The sequence below is a fragment of the Homo sapiens genome, chromosome 1, assembly GCF_000001405.40.
Source record: "Homo sapiens chromosome 1, GRCh38.p14 Primary Assembly".
Classification (NCBI taxonomy): Eukaryota; Metazoa; Chordata; class Mammalia; order Primates; family Hominidae; genus Homo; species Homo sapiens.
The window spans coordinates 81,940,983-81,962,442 of NC_000001.11; the positions used below are offsets into that span (position 1 = coordinate 81,940,983).

Genomic DNA, 21,460 nt, shown 5'->3' on the forward strand with positions numbered 1-21,460 from the left:
TGAAAGCATTTACTTTTTATAAGGTCTGTGGAGTCAAGGTATTTGCTCTGAATGCTCGGTATGATTGTTGTTGCATGCTAGCTTGCTTTCTATGTAAATTGATGATGGTAGAATTGTCATAATAATCTAACCATAATTCTTTCTTCCTTTTTCTCCTTGCCTACTGTGCTTGCTTTTCCCTTGTATGTATTTTGCTTACTTTTTTTATAGACTTAGTATTACAAGTTTGAGATATATAATATAGAAAATTTAATAAGAATTTTATAATAAAATGTATATGTAAACCTAACTAAGTAAATATACTAATTCTTAGTGGGGGAGAAAGGTACTACCTTACCCTACTCTTCAAAATCACTACTGGTGATGGGGGGATATTGATATATTCCTAAAGAGGAGGCTTTTTTAATGGTTAAAATTAATTTATCTAGGAATAGAAAATAATAGAAAAACAATTGAAACATACTGGGATGCATAATTATATATTTCTTCTTAGTAAATATCTATGAAAAACATGTAACCACATCAGAATTAAATTTGATCTAAACTCCAAAATTAAGTTGTGATTTTTATAAATGTATTTTTCTATTGTTATGCTTATCTAAAGTTAGTTTAATAATTGAGTTCACATAAGATAAATGGGGATGATATACCTATGCATGCATTTATGTCTATAGCATACATATAGGAAGTAAAACTTGGTAAGAATGCTGAGTGACTTTGGAAAGGCAAGAGTATGTATACCATGCATTAGTGAAGAGTTTCATTATTTATTCAGGTACACTAAGTGAAGCAACATGCCAACATATTTGTATTGCCTCCTTAATCTCCTAAAATGATTGATCCATGTTCTTTTATGTAACTTTAGAATCTTTCTCCTGCTAGGTTTTCCTGTTGTGTGTTTCTCTTTATCCAAAGTAGTACAGCTCTTAATTCTTCCTATATTTAGCATCTGTTACGAATTCAGTCTTAGACTAATAGTCAATTTATTTTAATCTTTTTTCTTTTTTCCTTGCACCTTTTTTATTTTTCTTCCTGATGCTTAAAATAGAAGTGGAGCAAAAAGGTAAATAACATACAGTCTGAACCCCAGCTCCCTGTTATGTGCCTTATGGATGTTAACCTCCTCCCTCCCCTCTCCCCACAACACTCCTGTATTAAAATAATCAGCAGGATCTCATAAATGCCACCTCATAAGGAAGTCAACTGTTTACAATGAAATTGTATGACTGCTAAACCTGGTGATGGGGTAAAAATTCTGAAGTCGGCGAGGGGGATCTGCCCTTTCTCTGTTTCTTTTTTACCCTTTATCTCTTTTTCTGACACCCTTGGATATTTTCTTATAATTAAAGTGTCATCTTGCCTGGCTTCCAGAACCCTCTCCATAGCATGCCATGGTTACAGGGTCTCCTGATTGTTTCATCACTGCTTTTCTTGCATTTACTTTTCTGTGCTCCTAATTGCATTTTCCAAATACTTATGTTCCTCAAATTGAAGCACCTTTGTTTTCAGTCTAACTTATGTAAAAGTTCTAAATAAGTCTTCACATTCGGTTTTCTGTTTTATTTGCCTTATTTCATGGTTTTGCTTTTAGGGGCTCATAGGTGAAGTAGGGGGTTGAAAGGTATAATGTTTGTAATAAAATGAAATATATACTGTTGTGCAAAAGCTCAAACTTTTAAAACATGGGTTAACAGATTATAAGATGAAAACATAGCAAAAATTTAAATTGTCAGACCACTTATAAATGATCTTAAACTTAGGCTTTTGTTAGTGAAAATAAACATAAACTTCAGTTACTTTGTACCCTGATACACTGATTATGCTAACTTTAGAAAAGAAGGGTAGTATTTGTATGAAGTATACATTTTGGTAAAATTGAATGCTAATAATATGAATTTTTCCCTTTTGATTTGTGATCACTGAAACTTGTTTGCCTGTGTAATTTTTTAACTTGGCTTAATTTTTGTCTTTCTCTGTAACTGTTAGTTTTTGTGTGTCCTGGGACCTTGAAAGCAATTGTGGACTCACCATGTATATATGAAGCTGAACAAAAGGCGGGTGCTTGGTGCAAGGACCCTCTTCAGGCTGCAGATAAAATTTATTTCATGCCCTGGACTCCCTATCGTACCGATACTTTAATAGAATATGCTTCTTTAGAAGATTTCCAAAATAGTCGCCAAACAACAACATATAAACTTCCAAATCGAGTAGATGGTACTGGATTTGTGGTGTATGATGGTGCTGTCTTCTTTAACAAAGAAAGAACGAGGAATATTGTGAAATTTGACTTGAGGACTAGAATTAAGAGTGGCGAGGCCATAATTAACTATGCCAACTACCATGATACCTCACCATACAGATGGGGAGGAAAGACTGATATCGACCTAGCAGTTGATGAAAATGGTTTATGGGTCATTTACGCCACTGAACAGAACAATGGAATGATAGTTATTAGCCAGCTGAATCCATACACTCTTCGATTTGAAGCAACGTGGGAGACTGTATACGACAAACGTGCCGCATCAAATGCTTTTATGATATGCGGAGTCCTCTATGTGGTTAGGTCAGTTTATCAAGACAATGAAAGTGAAACAGGCAAGAACTCAATTGATTACATTTATAATACCCGATTAAACCGAGGAGAATATGTAGATGTTCCCTTCCCCAACCAGTATCAGTATATTGCTGCAGTGGATTACAATCCAAGAGATAACCAACTTTACGTGTGGAACAATAACTTCATTTTACGATATTCTCTGGAGTTTGGTCCACCTGATCCTGCCCAAGGTAAGCGTGTTTACTTGCTAATGCTTATGTCATTTTGTGAAAAGCATTTTTCTTTTTAAAGACTTCTTAATTTTTTTTTCCTATTTTCTTCCCCTTTTCATAGTTAAAGGACAAAGGACAATGTTGTGGTACATTTTAGCCTTATTATGGTTCGTTTTCTTTTTCTCAATTTCTTCATTTTAATGTTGGCTTCAAGAAATTGTGGCATTATTAGTCAGCTTAAACTTTTTTCATTGCTAAAAATATAATACTAACCAGAAACCTGTTAGCAGTGTTTTTTTGTTTGGTTGTTTTCCCCTACTTGACTGCTGAATTGATTACAATCTATGTTCAGACCTTTTAACTTCTTGGCGCCAGTGGTTAAAGGAAACGTGTGTTAGGAAGTCCCAGGAGAATGGCTAGGCTTGATGTACAATGCCAGATATATGCGTTCTAAAGTTTTGGTGTCTGTTCTCTCAGTAGGAGAGGGAGCCATCCAATATTTTTCTAGATTATCATGTAAAATTACATGTTTTTATTTTCTGATAAATTAGTGACAGTTTGAAGTCAATATTTCTGTGACTTTAACGATCACATGAACCAAACTTTAAATGATCCCAAGTGATGACTTGTGATGACAGATATGCAAGCATTGTGTGATTTGTATTCTCTTTATGGAGGATCATTACTTTAGAAAGTAATGCTAAATTTTTGGAAATATACTTTGGTTTATTAAGTGAGTTCAGTTTTGTGGGAAATAATTTTTGATGATAAACGAATACTTCATTAAAACAAGATTATCTCATACTCATGATGAAAGAATAATTTGTTAATGTATTATTATAGAGCTTGCACTGTTTATAAGTCTTCTATTTGAACAGTGTTTGTTTAAGATCTGAATATCCTAATTTACTGAGTTAATCTTGAAATTATTGCATTATTTCAAAATTTTAGGAACTAGAAAGTTCTTTGGAGTGATTAAATTAATATCCTCAATAGGGTGGGGCAGAGACTAATATATTTTTTCTTCTCTTAAAGCAATGCAAGTACACACACTTAAATATGTTCATAACAAACACATACCCATACATATTTTAAGATATGCTGTTAATCAGTTTTAAATATTGTCATACGGTCAGGACCTCAAAAGCAGAAGTCACAGCTCTTTGTCATGGAATTTCTAATTTGAGTCATTGTAGAATACCAAAATACATGAGTTTTGTTCATATAATAACAATAATGATCCACTGACTTAGTGTACATCCCCTTTTTCCCTAAATCAGGTTATGTTTGTATTTTTTGGCTTATAGTTGTAGCAGTAATGTTCATTGTTAAATTTATAACAATGAAATCTTCTTTTAGGGCATATAATTTTATTGATAGTATCTTAGAATCATTTATTTAAAAATGTATACATATGTTTGCTCATGAGGCAGCAGTTTGGTTTGTTTCATCTATTTCAATTGTTTTTCCAAAAGCTGCTACTACAATAGTGCTTCTTTATCCTATAGGTTTGTCAAAAGGCAAACTTAAGGCATTGACAGACTTGTATTGGCATTGGCTAAAATTGTATTGATCCTTATGTTAACCTTTTTGTAGCCTGTATTAGTCTCACAGTTGTTAGATTTGTCTTGGGTAGCAGTAAATTTTTTGTCATCCTCAGAAAAAAAAGAAAGAAAAAAAATGTTTTACAAATTGCAAATTCATAATCAGGCAACAACCTGAAGAATTGTGAATAAAGTTGAGTATAATTCAGTTCAACAAATAAAAACATTACCCATCTACTTGCCACAAAGTACTTCAGCAAATACAAAGATGGTTAGTAATGTCATCCTCCACATGTGTCATATATTCTAGCAAATAATTTGATCCATTTCAGATGAAAAGTCTTTGATAGTTTAGATGCTTTTGGAAAGAGCAGTTAACAGCCTTGAAAATGAGAAGCTTCGGCAGATGTAGCAACTGTATGTTCCTACAACTATGGTTTGTCATCCAAAATAGCCATTCTTTATAAATAGTCCCAGAACATGAAAATTCATATTGACCCCTTATTCAGCCCTTAGTGATGAAAAGTATTATCTGACCTAAATTTCTCTCACTGCTGTTTGACCCATATTCATTCTCTCTCTCTCTCTCTCTCTTTGTAATTTATATTATGCATTTAGAGACTCCCTTCTCTCTGATCCAAGATGTGTGCTACCTATATGCATGTAGGTGGGGTCTTGCAGAACTATTCTGGCCCACAAATTTAGGTCAAACCAATAAGCCACTGTCAGCTTTCCAGAAACAAGATCCAAGAAACTGATAGAACAGAGCAATCAGAGAAATGAGGTCTTTTGCCTGTCATAAAGTAGTGATTGATTTATTTTGCTGAAATTCGTAGTTCAGGTCATCTGTGCTGGATTTGCTATCACATATATGGCCAAGGCATAAATTGTGCTATAAAATTATCCATTCGTTTTTTTTCATTATCTATGTCATTTTTCATTGTGGACTGTTTAATAATATATTAGCCTCAATACTTTTTCCCATTTATAAATCCAAGCCTTTTCATTCCTAAAAGCACACGCATATTATTTTTGTGCCTTAATCTTTTTTTTTTTTTTTTTGGTGAGTTTTGAGCTCTGTGTGATCCCTGCATAGTTCATTTGCTCCACTCCCCTAAACGAGGTCTGTTTTTCCTGTTTCACCTTCTCCCTCTCTGGAATGGCCTTAGGAAAAACACTTTCCAGTCCTGTTTTAACTCTTTTCCATTTCTTAATCTGGATTGCTTTATATTTACTTAATCTGTCTGCACATGTGATATCCCAAATATTATAAAGAAAATGATGTGTTTTTACTTGGCTTTTGGCAGTTCCTCAACATTTGGGTTAGACTAATTAATGATGTGATACACTTCTGTAATACCAGGAAAAAATTTTTATAAAGAGAGCCATTTTGTTTATATATAGCATAGAATTCATACTTCCGGAAATACCTTTTCACTGATAAAGAATGCTGTATAAAAGATGATCAGTGTTTTTAGACAGTGAACAGGGGCAAGTTGAATAGGTGCTCGTTTTTGCTTTACCAAGCTACAGAAACTCTAGAGTTCATTTCGTGAACAGTGGGTGAGGGTGAATTCTTGGACCTCAGTGAGGAGAATATTACCCTTAGCATAAATGTCTGTTGTCTTCAAACCCTTTCATGGAGGAAAACCCTGGTAATCAATAGAAGTTCTTAGTACATAACCAGAGTAAACTGAACCATTCTGTATGTGTTAGTTAAAATCTTCATGGGTACTTATTAAGCATGTTTATTAGCATCATTTCTTAGGTATTTTGTTTCTACTCAAATGATAAATGGTAGGTAGAATCCTAAGTCAGTGCATGAGTGCATGATACGGCATCCGGATAAATAGAGCTCTATAAAAAAGGGTTTGGATTAGAGTCATAATTCTATTGTGAGTTGTGTTTTCTATTATTATTTATAGGATATTCTTGAGTTTTGAACCTTTTGCCATGTTTCATTATGGAACTTCTCATTGTTTGTTATTCTAGTCTTATGCTTTCTTTCCAAATTGTTATTCTTTTAGAGATTTACACAGAACACCATGTCAGTTAAATGTTCCCAGATAACTGCAAGGTTACTTGTTGGATACCGTATTTTTCTAGAGTCTATGAAAATCTGTAACTAGGCAAGTAAGATCATAGCATTTAAGAGTATGGGAAAGTGACCTTAAACAAATTACTTATCTTCATCGTTCAGTTTCCTTATCTGTAAAAGGAAGATAATTATAGTACCTACTTCATGGAGTTGTGGTAAGGATTAAATAAGATGATCTGATTATCCATGAATGGTGATTGGCATAGCACCTAGCACATAAATGCTAAATCAACGTACACTTTTATCATTACCAGATGCCCTATTTGGGCCATTTCCACCTGTGGAAATAAATAATAATTTTTAGAAATATATCTGCATTTCTAGCCTTCACATGAGGAAAAAAAGTTGCTTTTCTTCTGGTATTGCTAAACTTAAACCTTCCAAAATTCCAGAAATTCTATGTGTACCTCTAAAAGATTTAGTTTTGTCACTTAAGCTTTATGATCATGTTTATTTTCATGATATCCCAATATTTCACTGATTTATTTTTGAAGAATAAGTTGATTCCCTTTAATCTATTTTGGTGATCAAAAGGTAAAAAGTGGCTGGGCACAGTCGCTCATGCCTGTAATCCCAGCACTTTGGGATGTCAGGGAGGGCGGATCACGAGGTCAGGAGATCGAGACCATCCTGGCCAATATGGTGAAACCCCGTCTCTGCTAAAAATACAAAAATTAGCAGGGTGTGGTGGTGGGTGCCTGTAGACCCAGCTACTCGGGAAGCTGAAGCAGGAGAATGGCTTGAACGCAGGAGGCGGAGGTTGCAGTGAGCCGAGACCACACCACTGCACTCCAGCCTGGTGACAGAGCAAGACTCCATCTCAAAAAAAAAAACAAAAACAAAAAGGTGAAAAGGTATAAAAATAAATTATCAAAAAAAAAAACAATGGAAACATGGCTGTAGAATGTTGCATGAAATTTTGCACATTTAATTGAGGTCCTTTTAATGTCTACCTTGACTCGGTTATTATGAATCTCAACTAATGCTTAGCTAACAAATCACTAATTGTAGTATTAATACATATTTCAGTGATTAAATATGTGCTAGTTAGTACAGTGTCAAGGGATATATCAGGTAGTGTAGCGCTCAAGCATTTTGCTCTGCCCCCTTCTTTTTTCTGTTCTGATTCCCGACTCCCCTTTAAGACTTGATTCAGCAGCAGTCATTTGACACTTCTGCAAAAGATTGTGATGCTTTTGACAAATGTTAATTGAGAAAGCACTGAAAGCCTGGCTGCATTGTAATCAAAAGAAAATTACAGAGGTTTAACAAGATGTCAAGCAAGTGCTTTAAAGAAAAGATAGACAGGTTTGAATAGGTTTCTGCAGCAGCTGGCTAGGCATGATGTTTGACTGATGTACATAGGCATCTCTCATATGGTCAATAAATTATGCCCTGGAAATAAAACACATGCTTTAGAAGTTTCTCTTGAGGTAGAGGGGGGGAAAGGAATAAAACGTGTATAGTGTACTTACTGGTAACAAGAAGTATGTAACTACTAAAGAACTAGAAACATGTCACACTACTTTTTCGTAGTTTACTGTCAGTAGTGTCAGAATTAATAAAGAAAGATTGATGGACCAGAGAGCTTAAAATAGTAAACATATCAGTGATAATATGAACTTGTTTTCTAATAAATTCTAATATTCTAGCTTATTATCTCATGTGTAGATAAAGTGTAAAATAAGTTGATTTTATTAAGATGATTTGAAAACATAGCTATTTTTCATTTGCTCTACTACAACAATTTAAATTGAAGGCATCATATATGTAAGGTTTTAAGAGCCAATAATCTGTAAATGTTGATACAACTTTCGTGTGATTTCCTCCAACAGTTTTTAAGTGGTAGTATTAAATTTTTACTGACAGATTTTTGTTGTTGTTTAAATTAATTCAGTGGTAATTAATGGAAGAAACATTGAGCTCCACTATTTCTTAAACCTAGTGGATTTAACAGTTTAGTAACATTGGAAGGCAAAAATAACCTTTGAAAATAATGAAAACATTTTTGCTTTTAAATGTGTAACGATAGTTCTTTTAAATTCTCTGTTAAGGGTGACTAAGATATGAAGGGTTGGTTTGAATTAGGCATGATTTGATCTGATGCTTTATCTTGGTAAGAGATTCCACCTCTGACTGGAACTAGCTGCTTCTTCATACCTACCTTTTTCAAGGTAACGATGCCGAAGCCTGAGATGTTTCCTTAATAAAACAGCGCAAGCATGCCAAGCTTATCTTCTGTTTGGATCTAATCAGGCATGCTGATCATGCTCAGGCAAGAACGGCTGCTGGGTGGAAAGATGTCACAGTATTTATTTTCTTGCAATATGTAAAGTGGGTGACTTTAAATTTTTTTATCATCCTAATTACATATAATCATCACAGTTTTGTTAATGCTTTGAATTTGATTGCTTATAGAATGTGAGTTTATACAATAGAATTTTTCTAAATTAAACTGTCCCACATTTCCTGTTAAACAGTATGTGATGAAATTATACTTAAACTGTACTATCACATATTTCATTGAGAAATAAACTTAAGAGTCATACAGCAAACACTATAGTAAAGCCTAAACTACCTACTTTCTCTTAGCCATCAGTATAAATAAATTGGAACAGATGAAAAGATGTATTCTTACGAGCGATATTGTCAGTAATTCTCATTTCCTTGGTTTGTGGGCAGACAGATGGGTAGGGTTTTGTGTGTGTGTGTGCATGCACACATTCCATGTGTGCATGACTGTATGTGAGTGCAAGTGTGTGTTTGAGATTAATATACTCATCTTTTTTCCATAGTGCCTACCACAGCTGTGACAATAACTTCTTCAGCTGAGCTGTTCAAAACCATAATATCAACCACAAGCACTACTTCACAGAAAGGCCCCATGAGCACAACTGTAGCTGGATCACAGGAAGGAAGCAAAGGGACAAAACCACCTCCAGCAGTTTCTACAACCAAAATTCCACCTATAACAAATATTTTTCCCCTGCCAGAGAGATTCTGTGAAGCATTAGACTCCAAGGGGATAAAGTGGCCTCAGACACAAAGGGGAATGATGGTTGAACGACCATGCCCTAAGGGAACAAGAGGTATTTTCTATAAACTACCATGCATACATTTTTCAATTTAGTAAGTAGGTTCTGTATTACAGTGAAGTGATTTTATTCAAAGAAAGCGATGTTTACAGTAGCTAACTTTATTTTTGTACTTTGGTAATATAACATCTATGGACAAAGTTTTTTAAACTGTAAAAGTCATTTAAGATCAGGCACTATAAATTACCTCTCCCTTTCAGAGACCTAGGTCAAGCCTGAGATTTTTGCCCCAAGACTCTAGTGAGTCTTCCTTACAGCTGCCTTTCTCATTATAAGCATCACTTTGGATGAATCCCAAGAAAATTAAGGGTTTTTGTTTGTTTGCTATAAATATATGATATTTCTATGCTGACTTCATATTTACCATTTATAATCTGCATTATACCCTACTTTTTGTCACTTATTGTCAAATACTTGCATTAGAGTTTATTCAAAATTTAACACGCAGAGCAGGATCATCATAGCTGATTCCCGAATGCATGCAGAAAAATGGTTTCAATTTCACTGTTGTTTTCTACATCTGTTGTAGGAACTGCCTCATATCTCTGCATGATTTCCACTGGAACATGGAACCCTAAGGGCCCCGATCTTAGCAACTGTACCTCACACTGGGTGAATCAGCTGGCTCAGAAGGTTGGTTGGAACCTTTTAATATGACACATTGGTGATTTAGGGCATTAACTTCTAACATAAATAATTTAGCTTTGTGTGTTAAAACCAGCTTTATTGCTCTTTGTTCAGTATAAAAGTAAAAAAAAATTACGCATAGTTTTGTCTGTAAACTGTTTATTGAAAGTTACATATGTTTGGGGGTATCCTGTTCTCTATGTTAAGCTTTTTAGTGAGTAATGCTTGTTAATTTCATTCATATTTAGTTCTGTTTCTTTTGATGTTCATAAGACAAAATGCATTCGCCGATTAAATAAAATATCATTAAGTTTACAACTGAATCCACAGAATGCAAGCAGATGTTTATATCACACATGATTATGGTAGAATGAGTAAACTACTTTAAAAGGCATTAGTAACTTTAATATTGCAGTGTAATGCAATGCCATTTTTTCTCCTCCTTCATCTACCTTTATGACGAATAAACATCAGATAATAACCCTCAGTATCATGCTGATTACATACTGACTTAAATTCTGGATCATTGGAATAAATAAGACTTTAAAATAACAATTTTAAATGGTAGCAGTGAAATGAGAGAACTGGCTGAAATTTTTGAGAAAGGATTTTTTTTCCTTTTTATTTCTTTTAAATGCCTGGTTCAGAATTGTGTGTGTGTGTGTGTTGATAATCTAAGAGCCTTGAAACTTCTAAGACGAAGGGAAAGTCATCAGTCTCAATTAGTTGGAGAATTTAACATTCGCAAATTTTTTTCACCACAATAAAGATACTCAAGGAGAACTAGAAGCTGTAAACAGAAAAAAAAATTTAAATGAGATAATACAAATTGTTTTTTCAGATCAGAAGCGGAGAAAATGCTGCTAGTCTTGCCAATGAACTGGCTAAACATACCAAAGGGCCAGTGTTTGCTGGGGATGTAAGTTCTTCAGTGAGATTGATGGAGCAGTTGGTGGACATCCTTGATGCACAGCTGCAGGAACTGAAACCTAGTGAAAAAGATTCAGCTGGACGGAGTTATAACAAGGTAGAGAGAACTCTTCTGTTATTTTGAATTAGACACTTGGTATGGCAGCTCTTTCTTGTCTTATAGCAGTTGAGAGCCAAATCTTTGGCCCCGGGACATATACTTAGAAGCAAAATTTCTAATTTGGTTCATTTTTCCAAGGAAGAATTACAGTTGAGAAAAGAGCAATGTGCCCTGCCCTCCCAAAAGAGTGTAAATGATGTTAATTACCTGAGAGAGATCTTAGTTGGTGGCAAACTTTATCTATCTGATTGTGGTCAATACTGTAAGTTTATAATGCATTATCTGCACTTGGAGAGATTATATGTTATACAGTTGATATACTTTATATGCTAATACATGGAACTCTTATAGTTGCAGCAAAATTTTGACACATATAGGAATATTAGCCACTGACATATTTCTTTCAATGGCAGCTTTTGGAAGAAGGACAAGTTGCCGTCTCCAGGAATATATTGTTATCAGTGCCATTAATTTTTCCTATTATGACAAAAGTTGGATTGCTACTTTTCATCACACTATAAGTGTTTATATTAGGTTCATAGGAACCCAAAATCTGTGCCTAATGTGGTTCTACCTGGTTAAAAAATTGACTTTTTTTTTTACTGCAGTATATATTTTGTCTCTTTTTGTCAACATATTTTAGATTAGTATACTTCATAAAATAGAATAAAAAACTGTAAATAAGCAGTTTTGGTAGTCAGTGCAGACTCAGACTCCAGAGGACTACTGCATATAAACTTCGAGCTCTGGAACACCAGCTTAATTTTTGAGGATTTCTTCTTTCCTCATTTTCAGCAGATAAAAATCTAACCTCTGATTTTTCTTTTCTTTTACTTAAAAGCTCCAAAAACGAGAGAAGACATGCAGGGCTTACCTTAAGGTATCTCTCCTGTGCTGTCACCCTGCTTTCTCCCTTCTTCAGCTACCTGCCACGCTTTATCATCTTGCTGCATGATCCAATGTATTTCAGTCTTTGATAATTATATAATGTGCCCCATATCAGCTGTACAAATGTTGGCTTTTCACAGGTATATTACTCTCAGAATAAGCAAATAATTTACTTTTAATGATTTCTGCTGTTTTTCCATTCATCCAAAAGTACACGAATTTTAATGAAATATCCTCTTAATTGGAAAGTAATTATGTAGTCTCTTTGTTTCCTGTTGTCATCTCTGTGGATTAAAAAACAACTTGAGTAAAACAGCTATGATATATTCTCGGCAGTTTATCATATCAAAGACTGTATAGTCATAATATATGTGCATGAAAAAGTCACTGCTTTCTTATCTTTGTGGTATACTCTTAAATAAAATAGGCTTTATTCTGAAATTTTTAGGAGTCATTTCTAGAATCAGGTTGATATGGGGATGGGTTACTAAAAATGAAATATGAATATAATTTGACTGTGATATCTGTATATGTTACATACTGTTTTTTATCAAGCTAATAGGAACAGAAAGCCACTGTTGAGCTCAGAATCCCTGTCCACTCCAGCCGGGTTTTCTCCCTGGTATATCCAAGTAATAGGAAACATGCTGAGGCTGCCATAGTGGTTCTGTGTGATAGATCAAAATAATAATACCAAATTGCATTTTGTTTTGTTCTCTGAATTTTAGGAGTTCCTTTTGGGGAGATATTACTTTCTAACCTTACTTTTCAGGGGACCATAACCATGGTAAATCAAACCTTGAAGAACGAATCCATATATTGTGACAAGAAAACAAAAGAACTTTTGTAGTTTCTTAGACTAGAGAGTATTAAAAAGGCATGACTTCACTAATTTTGGTTGGCAAGGTCTAGGAAAAAATGACGTCTCACTAGTTAGTATTGGACATTGTTGAACTTGAGAACTTTACAAGAAAAGGTAGTAGGAAAGTCTGTTTTTAGGTAATAATGGTCTGAAAGTCCCCTTTTAGCCTGTTTAATAGGGGCAGAGAAATAACTGCTGAAATCTATAGAATTTTTTTAAACTTCAATGTTCAGTTCACCTTTAAGGTATTAGTTAATGTATGAAATGTAATAATTGGTATGTTGCCCAGGACATACATCGCAGTTGGAAAAGAATAGCTTTTTTTTTTTCCTTTGGCAGAAAGAGACTACTTCAGGAATATGACTAGGCTAATGATCATTTTGATCCCACTAGACGAGTACAAATAGTAATAAATAAGGAGTGTTTCAAATTAATAAAAGCATGCCATTAGCAAGTTATGTGTATATGGAGTAAATTTCAGCATGACCTTAATTTCTGACCAGTGTCATTTTCAGTATGTCTCAAATGAGCTTCTCTGTTCAGATAAGACTAATAAAACTCTTTAAATTACAAATCAGAAGCTGACTTACACTATGCAAATGAAGCAAGTTCCCACTTTGTGACAGAGGATTCATTTGTAACTTAGATTAGAGAGAGGCTCCAGTCTGTATTTCTTGGTGACTAATGAATCTGGCCTCTGCAGACCAATTTCTGTTCCACTCTAGTTAATGGCTGCCGCAGTATCAGTGTGAGCATTTCGACTATTCTGTCTCCCATTAGAGGGAGAAAAAAAGCCTTTAACGCCACTTGGAAGTATCTTCCACCTGCCAGGAAGGTCGTGGTGTCTCACACGGCAGACAGAACGAGGATATTAAGATGGATTAAGCTAATTAATCTTACTCTGACAGTAGCTTCAAACAACTTTCCCCCCTGTTCATATAGTACCTCACGCTAGCAATTTTTATTGTTGTTCTTTTTGTACAGTGTGTGTTCTTTCTCTTCAGTAATTACCAATAGATCAGAACTATGTGTTTATGGGCATAATGACACATTATGACTGGGTGAATGGAATAGAGTAAATAAACTTAGTGATTTCACCTTTCCAAAGCATAGTCAGTGCGTAGCTACAGAGTGTAGGAGTATAAGATCCTGCCTTCAGTTGATTAACTGAGTTATATTTTATTTAATGTTATTTTGTGTAGCAATAAATTAAGCCTACATATGTGCATATTTACAACTTGGGTGTTTATGAAGACTTGATTCTACTTTCCTGTTTTCTCTAACTTATCAGTAGAGGCTTTAATTTTTATTCCTTTCTTTATCCCTTTAAAAGCAGATCATTGTTGATGAATTAAAGTATATGCTCAAGTGTTTTTTAGCTGGACAGAGAATTGGAAGAGTGAAAATGTTCACAGATAAATTATGAACTTTAATGCCACCTTGTTTTTTTTTTATTTCAAATGATTATAAGTAGACAGTGTCTATAAGGAATAATTTTGGTTACTATTTTAGTTGAGATTTCAAAAAATAATATAGTTTAATTTTCAAGCATACATATTAATCTATTCCAAAGACATCAGTATTTTTGGTTTAGAATATTCAAGTTTTGAGATCATAAATAGGATGACTTTAGTAGTTTTGACTCTACCTGTAAGAGTAATGTCTCAGATTAAGAGCTGACACAGGTGGTTGTCAACTATCAACAATTGAGGTGTGATTAAATAAATAGAAACAATCCACCTTCTACACTTACTGTTTGTAATCAAATAGCAGTCTGTTAATCTTCAGTCAGTCCTGTTTTAAAATGGTCCAGTTATATTTTAAAATGGACCAGATATATGTTGTCTAGGTGTTCTTCCATCTTGAAGTAAGAGTAAATCATCATGACAGATAAATATTACAATTGTCACTCATCAGCTACTGAAAATCACTTTGGTTCTAAAAGCGGTCAAAACTAATGATAGTTTTCTAATGGATACAGGCAATTGTTGACACAGTGGACAACCTTCTGAGACCCGAAGCTTTGGAATCATGGAAACATATGAATTCTTCTGAACAAGCACATACTGCAACAATGTTACTCGATACATTGGAAGAAGGAGCTTTTGTCCTAGCTGACAATCTTTTAGAACCAACAAGGGTCTCAATGCCCACAGAAAATATTGGTAAGTGAATCTACTGTCAAGTTTAATTTTGATTTAGGATATTCATATGTAAGAGGATGATGTTTCCATTCTGTATCTGTTATTTCCCAGTGCTGTACTTCTTTTTTTGTCAAATTATTTTTGTCTGTTACCAAGAGAAATTATTGACCACACTTACTAAAATTCATGCAAAAGCCAAACTCTATCCTGTGTTTTACAAGTTGGTTTTATGTGTGTGTGTTTTTCCAGTTGAAAAATCATTAACAAAAAAGTGTAAGAGTGCCTAAATACCAGAATGTAGATTTTTTAAGTAATGAAAGTACTTGCTATGAAACTGTGGCAAATGCTTAATCGTTTTATATAATATGTTCCTAATGAATTTAAATTATTTTATGGAATGCATTCTCAGTCAGATATTTTAGCACACAGAACTTGAGTCAGATGTTTGTATTAAACATAACTGCCTTCAGGTGAAAATGTGGTCAGTGAATTACATCTCCCACAATGCAGAACATCCGTGCTTCATAGATTGCAGAATAGCTACAGATAGTGTTGAAGCATAATTTAGAATTCAAATGCTACCACTGAGAGGTAGGAATTCACTTGTGAAAAATATTTGAAAGAAATACAGTAAAATTTTATTAATTTAGGTTTGAACAATTTAGAATTGTTAATTATTCAGTGAGGTTGAATTCAGATGAAGTTAACAGTATACCTTAGTTAGTGAAGTAAAAAGCTTCCCAAGCATACATGTAGAAGAACTCAAAAGGGACACAGACTACTCTTCCACCAGAAGCAGTGCTAACTTCATTAGGGCAGCAGATACTGAATGAAGACTTACTATCTGGAATGCCATATCTTAATGCCTAATTATGCCTTATTGTGCCTGCGTAAGTCATGAGACTTTATATAAAAAATGCAGATCAAAGGGGTATATGGAAGAAATGGACATAAATCAAATTAGCACCTATATTTGAATTCATAATCTTAAATTTATTTTATATAAGTGAATTTTTAAAAAGAAATGAAATATTTTAAAAATAATTTGTTTTTATTTACTTTGAGGTTTGGGAATGAAAAATCAGTAATTACCGAAGTGGCATATTATGACCTCAATTTGTTTTCTAAATATTCTGAAAATTATTAAAAAAAAAAAACCACTAAAATTCCCTTCTTATGCCTCTTCAATTGTGCAAGAAAATTTCATGGGCTGGGTTCACATCTATGCTCCCATCAGCCTTACATATATAGAACACACTGTAATTATAGATCCAAGATATTTTTATCCCAGTTTGAGATATATTCTGAACAATTAAATGTCCAGGAATACATTTTTTCTAGTACCTATGTTTTTCAGAGTTCTAAAGGATTATTTTTCGCTGGGCACAGTGGCTCATGCCTATAATCCCAGCACTTTGGGAGGCCGAGGCAGGCACATTGCTTGAGCTCTGGAGTTCGAGGCCAGCCTGGGCAACATGGTGAAACCCAATCTTTACAAAAAATACGCCAAGAAAAAAAAATAGCTGGACATGGTGGCGCATGCCTGTAGTCCCAGCTACTGGGGAGGCTGAGGCGGGAGGATCACCTGAGCCCAGGGAGGGAGAGGTTGCAGTGAGCTGAGATCATGCCACTGCACTCCACCCTGGATGATAGAGTGAGACCCCATCTCAAAAAAATAAATAAAATTTAATTAAATGAAACTAAAGGATTATTTTTAATGTTGATCTTTTTTCATTTTTAATTAAAAAACACTATGGAGAGACTGGCATCTCTAAAATAATGCTTGGTATTTACTAGTCTAAATGCTGATTACCCAAGAATTATCAATATGAAAGTCATTTTACGGCCGGGCATGGTGGCTCATGCCTGCAATCACAGCACTTTGGGAGGCCGAGGCAGGCGGATGAGGTCAGGAGTTCAGGACTATCCTGGCCAACATGGTGAAAACTCGTCTCTACTAAAAAATACAAAAAAAAATGGGAGGCCGAGGTGGATGGATCACCTGAGGTCAGGAGTTCCCAGCCTGCCCAACATAGCCAAACCCAGTCTCTACTAAATGTACAAAAAATTAGCCAGGCGTGGTGGGGGGTGCCTGTAATCCCAGCTACTCAAGAGGCTGAGGCAGGAGAATCCCTCGAACCTGGGAGGCAGAGCTTGCAGTGAGCCGTGATCACGCCATTGCACTCCAGCCTGGGCGACAAGAGCAAGACTTTGTCTCAAAAAAAAAAGGTCATTTTACATATTGTAATAATAGTTGTGTCTTTTTTATTTCCAAGGTATAAACAATTTTGGGGGTGGGGGGAAGGGCCCTGATTTACTGTGAGGGAAACGTTCACCTTTTTCCTAGGACTTGTCTTGTTCTCTTTTCAGACATGAGGACTAAAATAGCCTATTATTTCTCTATGTTCCCACTCCCTTGAGGACATGGCTATAATGTCTTAGGTTATTAAAACAATTTGATTTTCCTCCTTAGTGATTTCTTCTTAAATTCTTGGTTTAACTTCATAGCATGATTTACCCTTAATAATACATGACTCCATAAAATGATATAATTTTATCTATTATAATTATATCTAATTGTGACATTTAAAAACTTGGAGGTATAATTTAAAATATGCAATAAGAGCACCTGTTTTAAGTGTATAGTTTGATGGAGTATGGCAGTTGTACACTCTTATGATCATCAGCATGGTGATATTTCTGTGTCCTCAGATGGGCCCTTCATGCTCCTTTGCAGTCATTCTCCTCTGACCCTAGCCCTAAAAACATCAGAAACCACTGATGTGCTTTTCGTCCATGTAGATTAGTTTTGCTTTTTCTAGATCTTCAGTTGAATGGAATCATATAGTATGTAGTACTCCTTTTGATCTTGCTGCTTTTATGCAGAGGAATATTTTTTGAAATTTATCCATATACATGGGAGTGTCCATAATTTAATCCTTTTTATTGCTGAGTATTATCCATTGTGAAGACATACCACAATTTGTATATCTACTCACTTAGACATATTGAATTTTTTTCCACTTTTTGGCTGCCATTTTTGGCTGCCATTTTTCCAAGTGGTTGTACCATATTAAACTTGAACTGTAGCATATGAGAGTTCCAGTTGCTCCACATCCTCACCAATATTTAGGATTGGCAGTCATTTTATTTTTAGTGGTTCTTGGAGGCATCTCATTGTGGATTTATCTTGCATTTCTGTGATTGCTAAGTAACATTTTGCTGATAACCTCCTTTCATGTGTTTATTGTCCATTCAAATATACTTTTATGAAGTGTTTGTTCATATCTTTTGCCTATTTTTAATTGGGTTGTTTGTCTCATTAAATGAATTCTAAAGATTCTTTTTATATTATTGTTGTAAGTCTTTTTGTCAGAAATATGCATTCTGAGTATTTTTCCTCCAGTATGTGACTTTATTTTCTTTATATCTTGGGAAGAGCAGAAGTTTTTAATTTTGATTTTAAAAATTCACCTTACTGAGCTTTAGCAGCATCTGGCTAATCCTGTTCCACTTAACTCCTCTCACTCTTGTAATATTTTAAAGCAAATTGTAAAATCCTATCATGATTACTGTAAGAAACTTTATATGGATATATCCCATACTCTTTAAAAAACCACAATACCATTATCACACTTTAAAAAAATAACAAAACGTTTCAAAAGATAACAAAGTGTGTTCACATTTTCATAAATTTATTAATACTTTGTTGAAACCAGGATACAAGTCCAAGTAATAAATCTGATAGATATGTCAGTTGAGTTTTGTTTTTTTTTTTGAGATGGAGTTCCACTCTTGTTGCCCAGGCTGGAGTGCAATGGCGCGATCTTGGCTCATTGCAGCCTCCGCCTCCTGGGTTCAAGTGATTCTCCTGCTTCAGCCTCCCGAGTAACTGGGATTACATGTGCTCACCACCATGCCTGGCTAATTTTGTATTTTTAGTTAAGACGGGATTTCACCATGTTGGTCAGGCTGGTCTCACACTCCTGACCTAAGGTGATCCACCCACCTTGGCCTCCCAAAGCGCTGGGATTACAGGCATGAACCACCATTCCTGGCCAAGTATTTTTTCATTAAAAGTTATTTCTCTTTGCATACTAAAAAAAATATTTTTTAAACATTTTTTGTTTTTCTTGAGGAAGTCAGGTGGGTAATTTGTCTTGTAGACTTTGTTACATTCTTGGTTTGGCTTATTTCATCCACAGTGCATCATTTAACTCTGCCTGGTATGCTGATGGTTAGATTTAGAGGCATGATCATGCTAGGTTTAACTTTCTGTTTCTTTAATTTAACAAGAACTTTCTGTTGCATCTTATCAACAAGCACATAATCTTTGGTTTTATTTCCTTGTGATTTTCAGATCGGTTCCATGGTTTAGATGTTATCAGCCTGATCCATCCATTGTAAAATTCCCTTTTATTTATTGTCTTTTTTTTTTCTTTTTTCTTTTTTTGAGCCAGAATCTTCCTCTGTTGCCCAGGCTGGAGTGCAGTGGCATGATCTCGGCTCACTGCAACCTTCGCTTCCTGGGTTCAAGTGATTCTCCTACCTCGGCCTCCCGAGTAGCTGGGATTATAGGTGCCTGCCATGATGCCCTGCTAATTTTTGTATTTTTAGTAGAGACAGAGTTTCACTATGATGGCCAGGCTGGTCTTGAATTCCTGATCAGGTGATCCACCTACCTTAGCCTCCCAAAGTGCTGGGATTAAAGGTGTGAGCCACCGCCCCTGGCCTTATTTATTGTTTTAATGAGCTGAGTGGCCAGCATGATTTTTATCATCACTTTAGACTTAGACTGTGGTAACAAAAACCCCAAAGTCACAGCTGCTTACAACAACAAAGGTTTACTACTCCTTCCTGCTGCATAATTGTTGAGGCTGGACTTCAGCTCTGCTTCCTGTCATCTTCAGTTCTGCTCCGTGTTGTTTTTATTCTGGGACCTAGGCTGATGCCAGCTCCTTCCCATAAAGGTGCAAGTCTCCTGGCAGAGGTCATAGTTCTTCCTCTTTCCTCTCATTACAGCCACTACTTGCTGAGGAATTTGCAAAATAGTAAGATAAATATATTAAAATTCTGTTTACAGTATTGGCTGAGTGAGGCTCTGAATGGCTCTCCAGTGAACCAAGTGTATTCATGTTCAGAAAATCTATTGAATAAGGCATATATTATTTCAAGCATACAGAAAGTAGAGGATAGCATAACATCTGTGTACCACTTACTCAGCTGAGCCACATATTGGTATTTTACCATATTTGCTTCAGATTTTTTTGGAAAAAGAAAATCATAGATAATGTCGAAGTTCCCAGGATTGCCTCCTTCCTGATTCATATCATGAATGAGGTAGCTGTCATCTTTATTACTTAGCATTAATAAGCTTAAAAAATTTTGCTTTGTAAGTATGTACAGTGAATACTTTTCAGGTTTTTAACATTAATTTCACACTGTAAATGTAATTGTATAATTTTCTTTCTTTTTTTTTTTTTTTGAGACGGAGTTTTGCTCTTGTCGTCCAGGCTAGAGTGCAATGGCATGATCTCGGCTCACTGCAACCTTCACCTCCTGGGTTCAAGAGATTCACCTGCCTCAGCCTCCTGAGTAGCTGAGACTACAGGCATGCATCACTACGCCCAGCTAATTTTTTTGTATTTTTAGTAGAGAGGGGGTTTCACCATTTTGGCCAGGCAAGTCTCGAACTCCTGACCTCAGGTGATCCGCCTGCCTCAGCCTCCCAAAGTGCTGGGATTACAGGCATGAGCCACTGCACATGGCCATAATTGTATAATTTACCCTTAGCATTTTATTTTTTATATTTACATATGCTGATATGTGTATCTGTAGTTCATTTGATCTGTTTCTAAGAATGTACCAGAATTAACTGCTGATAGACATTTTAGTGGCTTCTGCTTTTTTCCTGACAGAAGGAAAACTGTAATGAAAGTTTCTGTATGCCTTCTTGCTCCAATGTGTGCCTTTCTAGACATACATGCGCACATACCTGTGTGTGCCTACACACACATACTCCCTAGAAATAGAATTTTTGAGTGGTAGAGCATACCCACCTTCAGCTTTACTAAATACTGCCAAATTGCTCTCTACCTTCTTTTACCAATTTAATTTTTCACCAGTAATACCATTACTAGTTTTGCAGACACTTTATTATTGACATAACTGTTGTCAATCTAATGAGTTTGAATTGGTTACGTTATTGTTTTAATTTACAATTTCCGTGATTGCTTCATGTTGATTTTTTTAACAGATTTATTACCTATGTTAGTTTTCTCTCCTATGAATTTATTGTTTACAACTTTCTCCTGTTTGATTTTTTCTTTATACTTCTATGTATACTGGACACTAATCCTGTAAAGATTATATAGTTTACAGATACTTATTCTGTCTGGGCTTT

The 21,460-nt window shown here is 35.0% G+C and overlaps 1 protein-coding gene across 64 annotated transcripts in view; it reads left to right on the forward strand.

Moving 5' to 3' along the window:
- The window catches only part of ADGRL2 (adhesion G protein-coupled receptor L2), a 687,801-nt gene that overhangs the window by 634,851 nt on the left and 31,490 nt on the right, over positions 1-21,460 (forward strand). For 28 of the 64 annotated variants that reach the window (XM_047416118.1, XM_047416159.1, XM_047416140.1 and 25 more), the window contains 5 exons: positions 1,987-2,787; positions 9,207-9,500; positions 10,036-10,139; positions 10,975-11,160; positions 14,895-15,078. In XM_047416118.1, coding sequence (XP_047272074.1) covers positions 1,987-2,787; positions 9,207-9,500; positions 10,036-10,139; positions 10,975-11,160; positions 14,895-15,078 — 1,569 coding nt within the window. Of the gene's footprint in view, positions 1-1,048; positions 1,064-1,986; positions 2,788-9,206; positions 9,501-10,035; positions 10,140-10,974; positions 11,161-12,004; positions 12,044-14,894; positions 16,224-21,460 lie in introns of those variants that run through there. The other 36 variants (XM_047416152.1, XM_024454355.2, XM_047416129.1 and 33 more) reach the window with 4 other exon arrangements.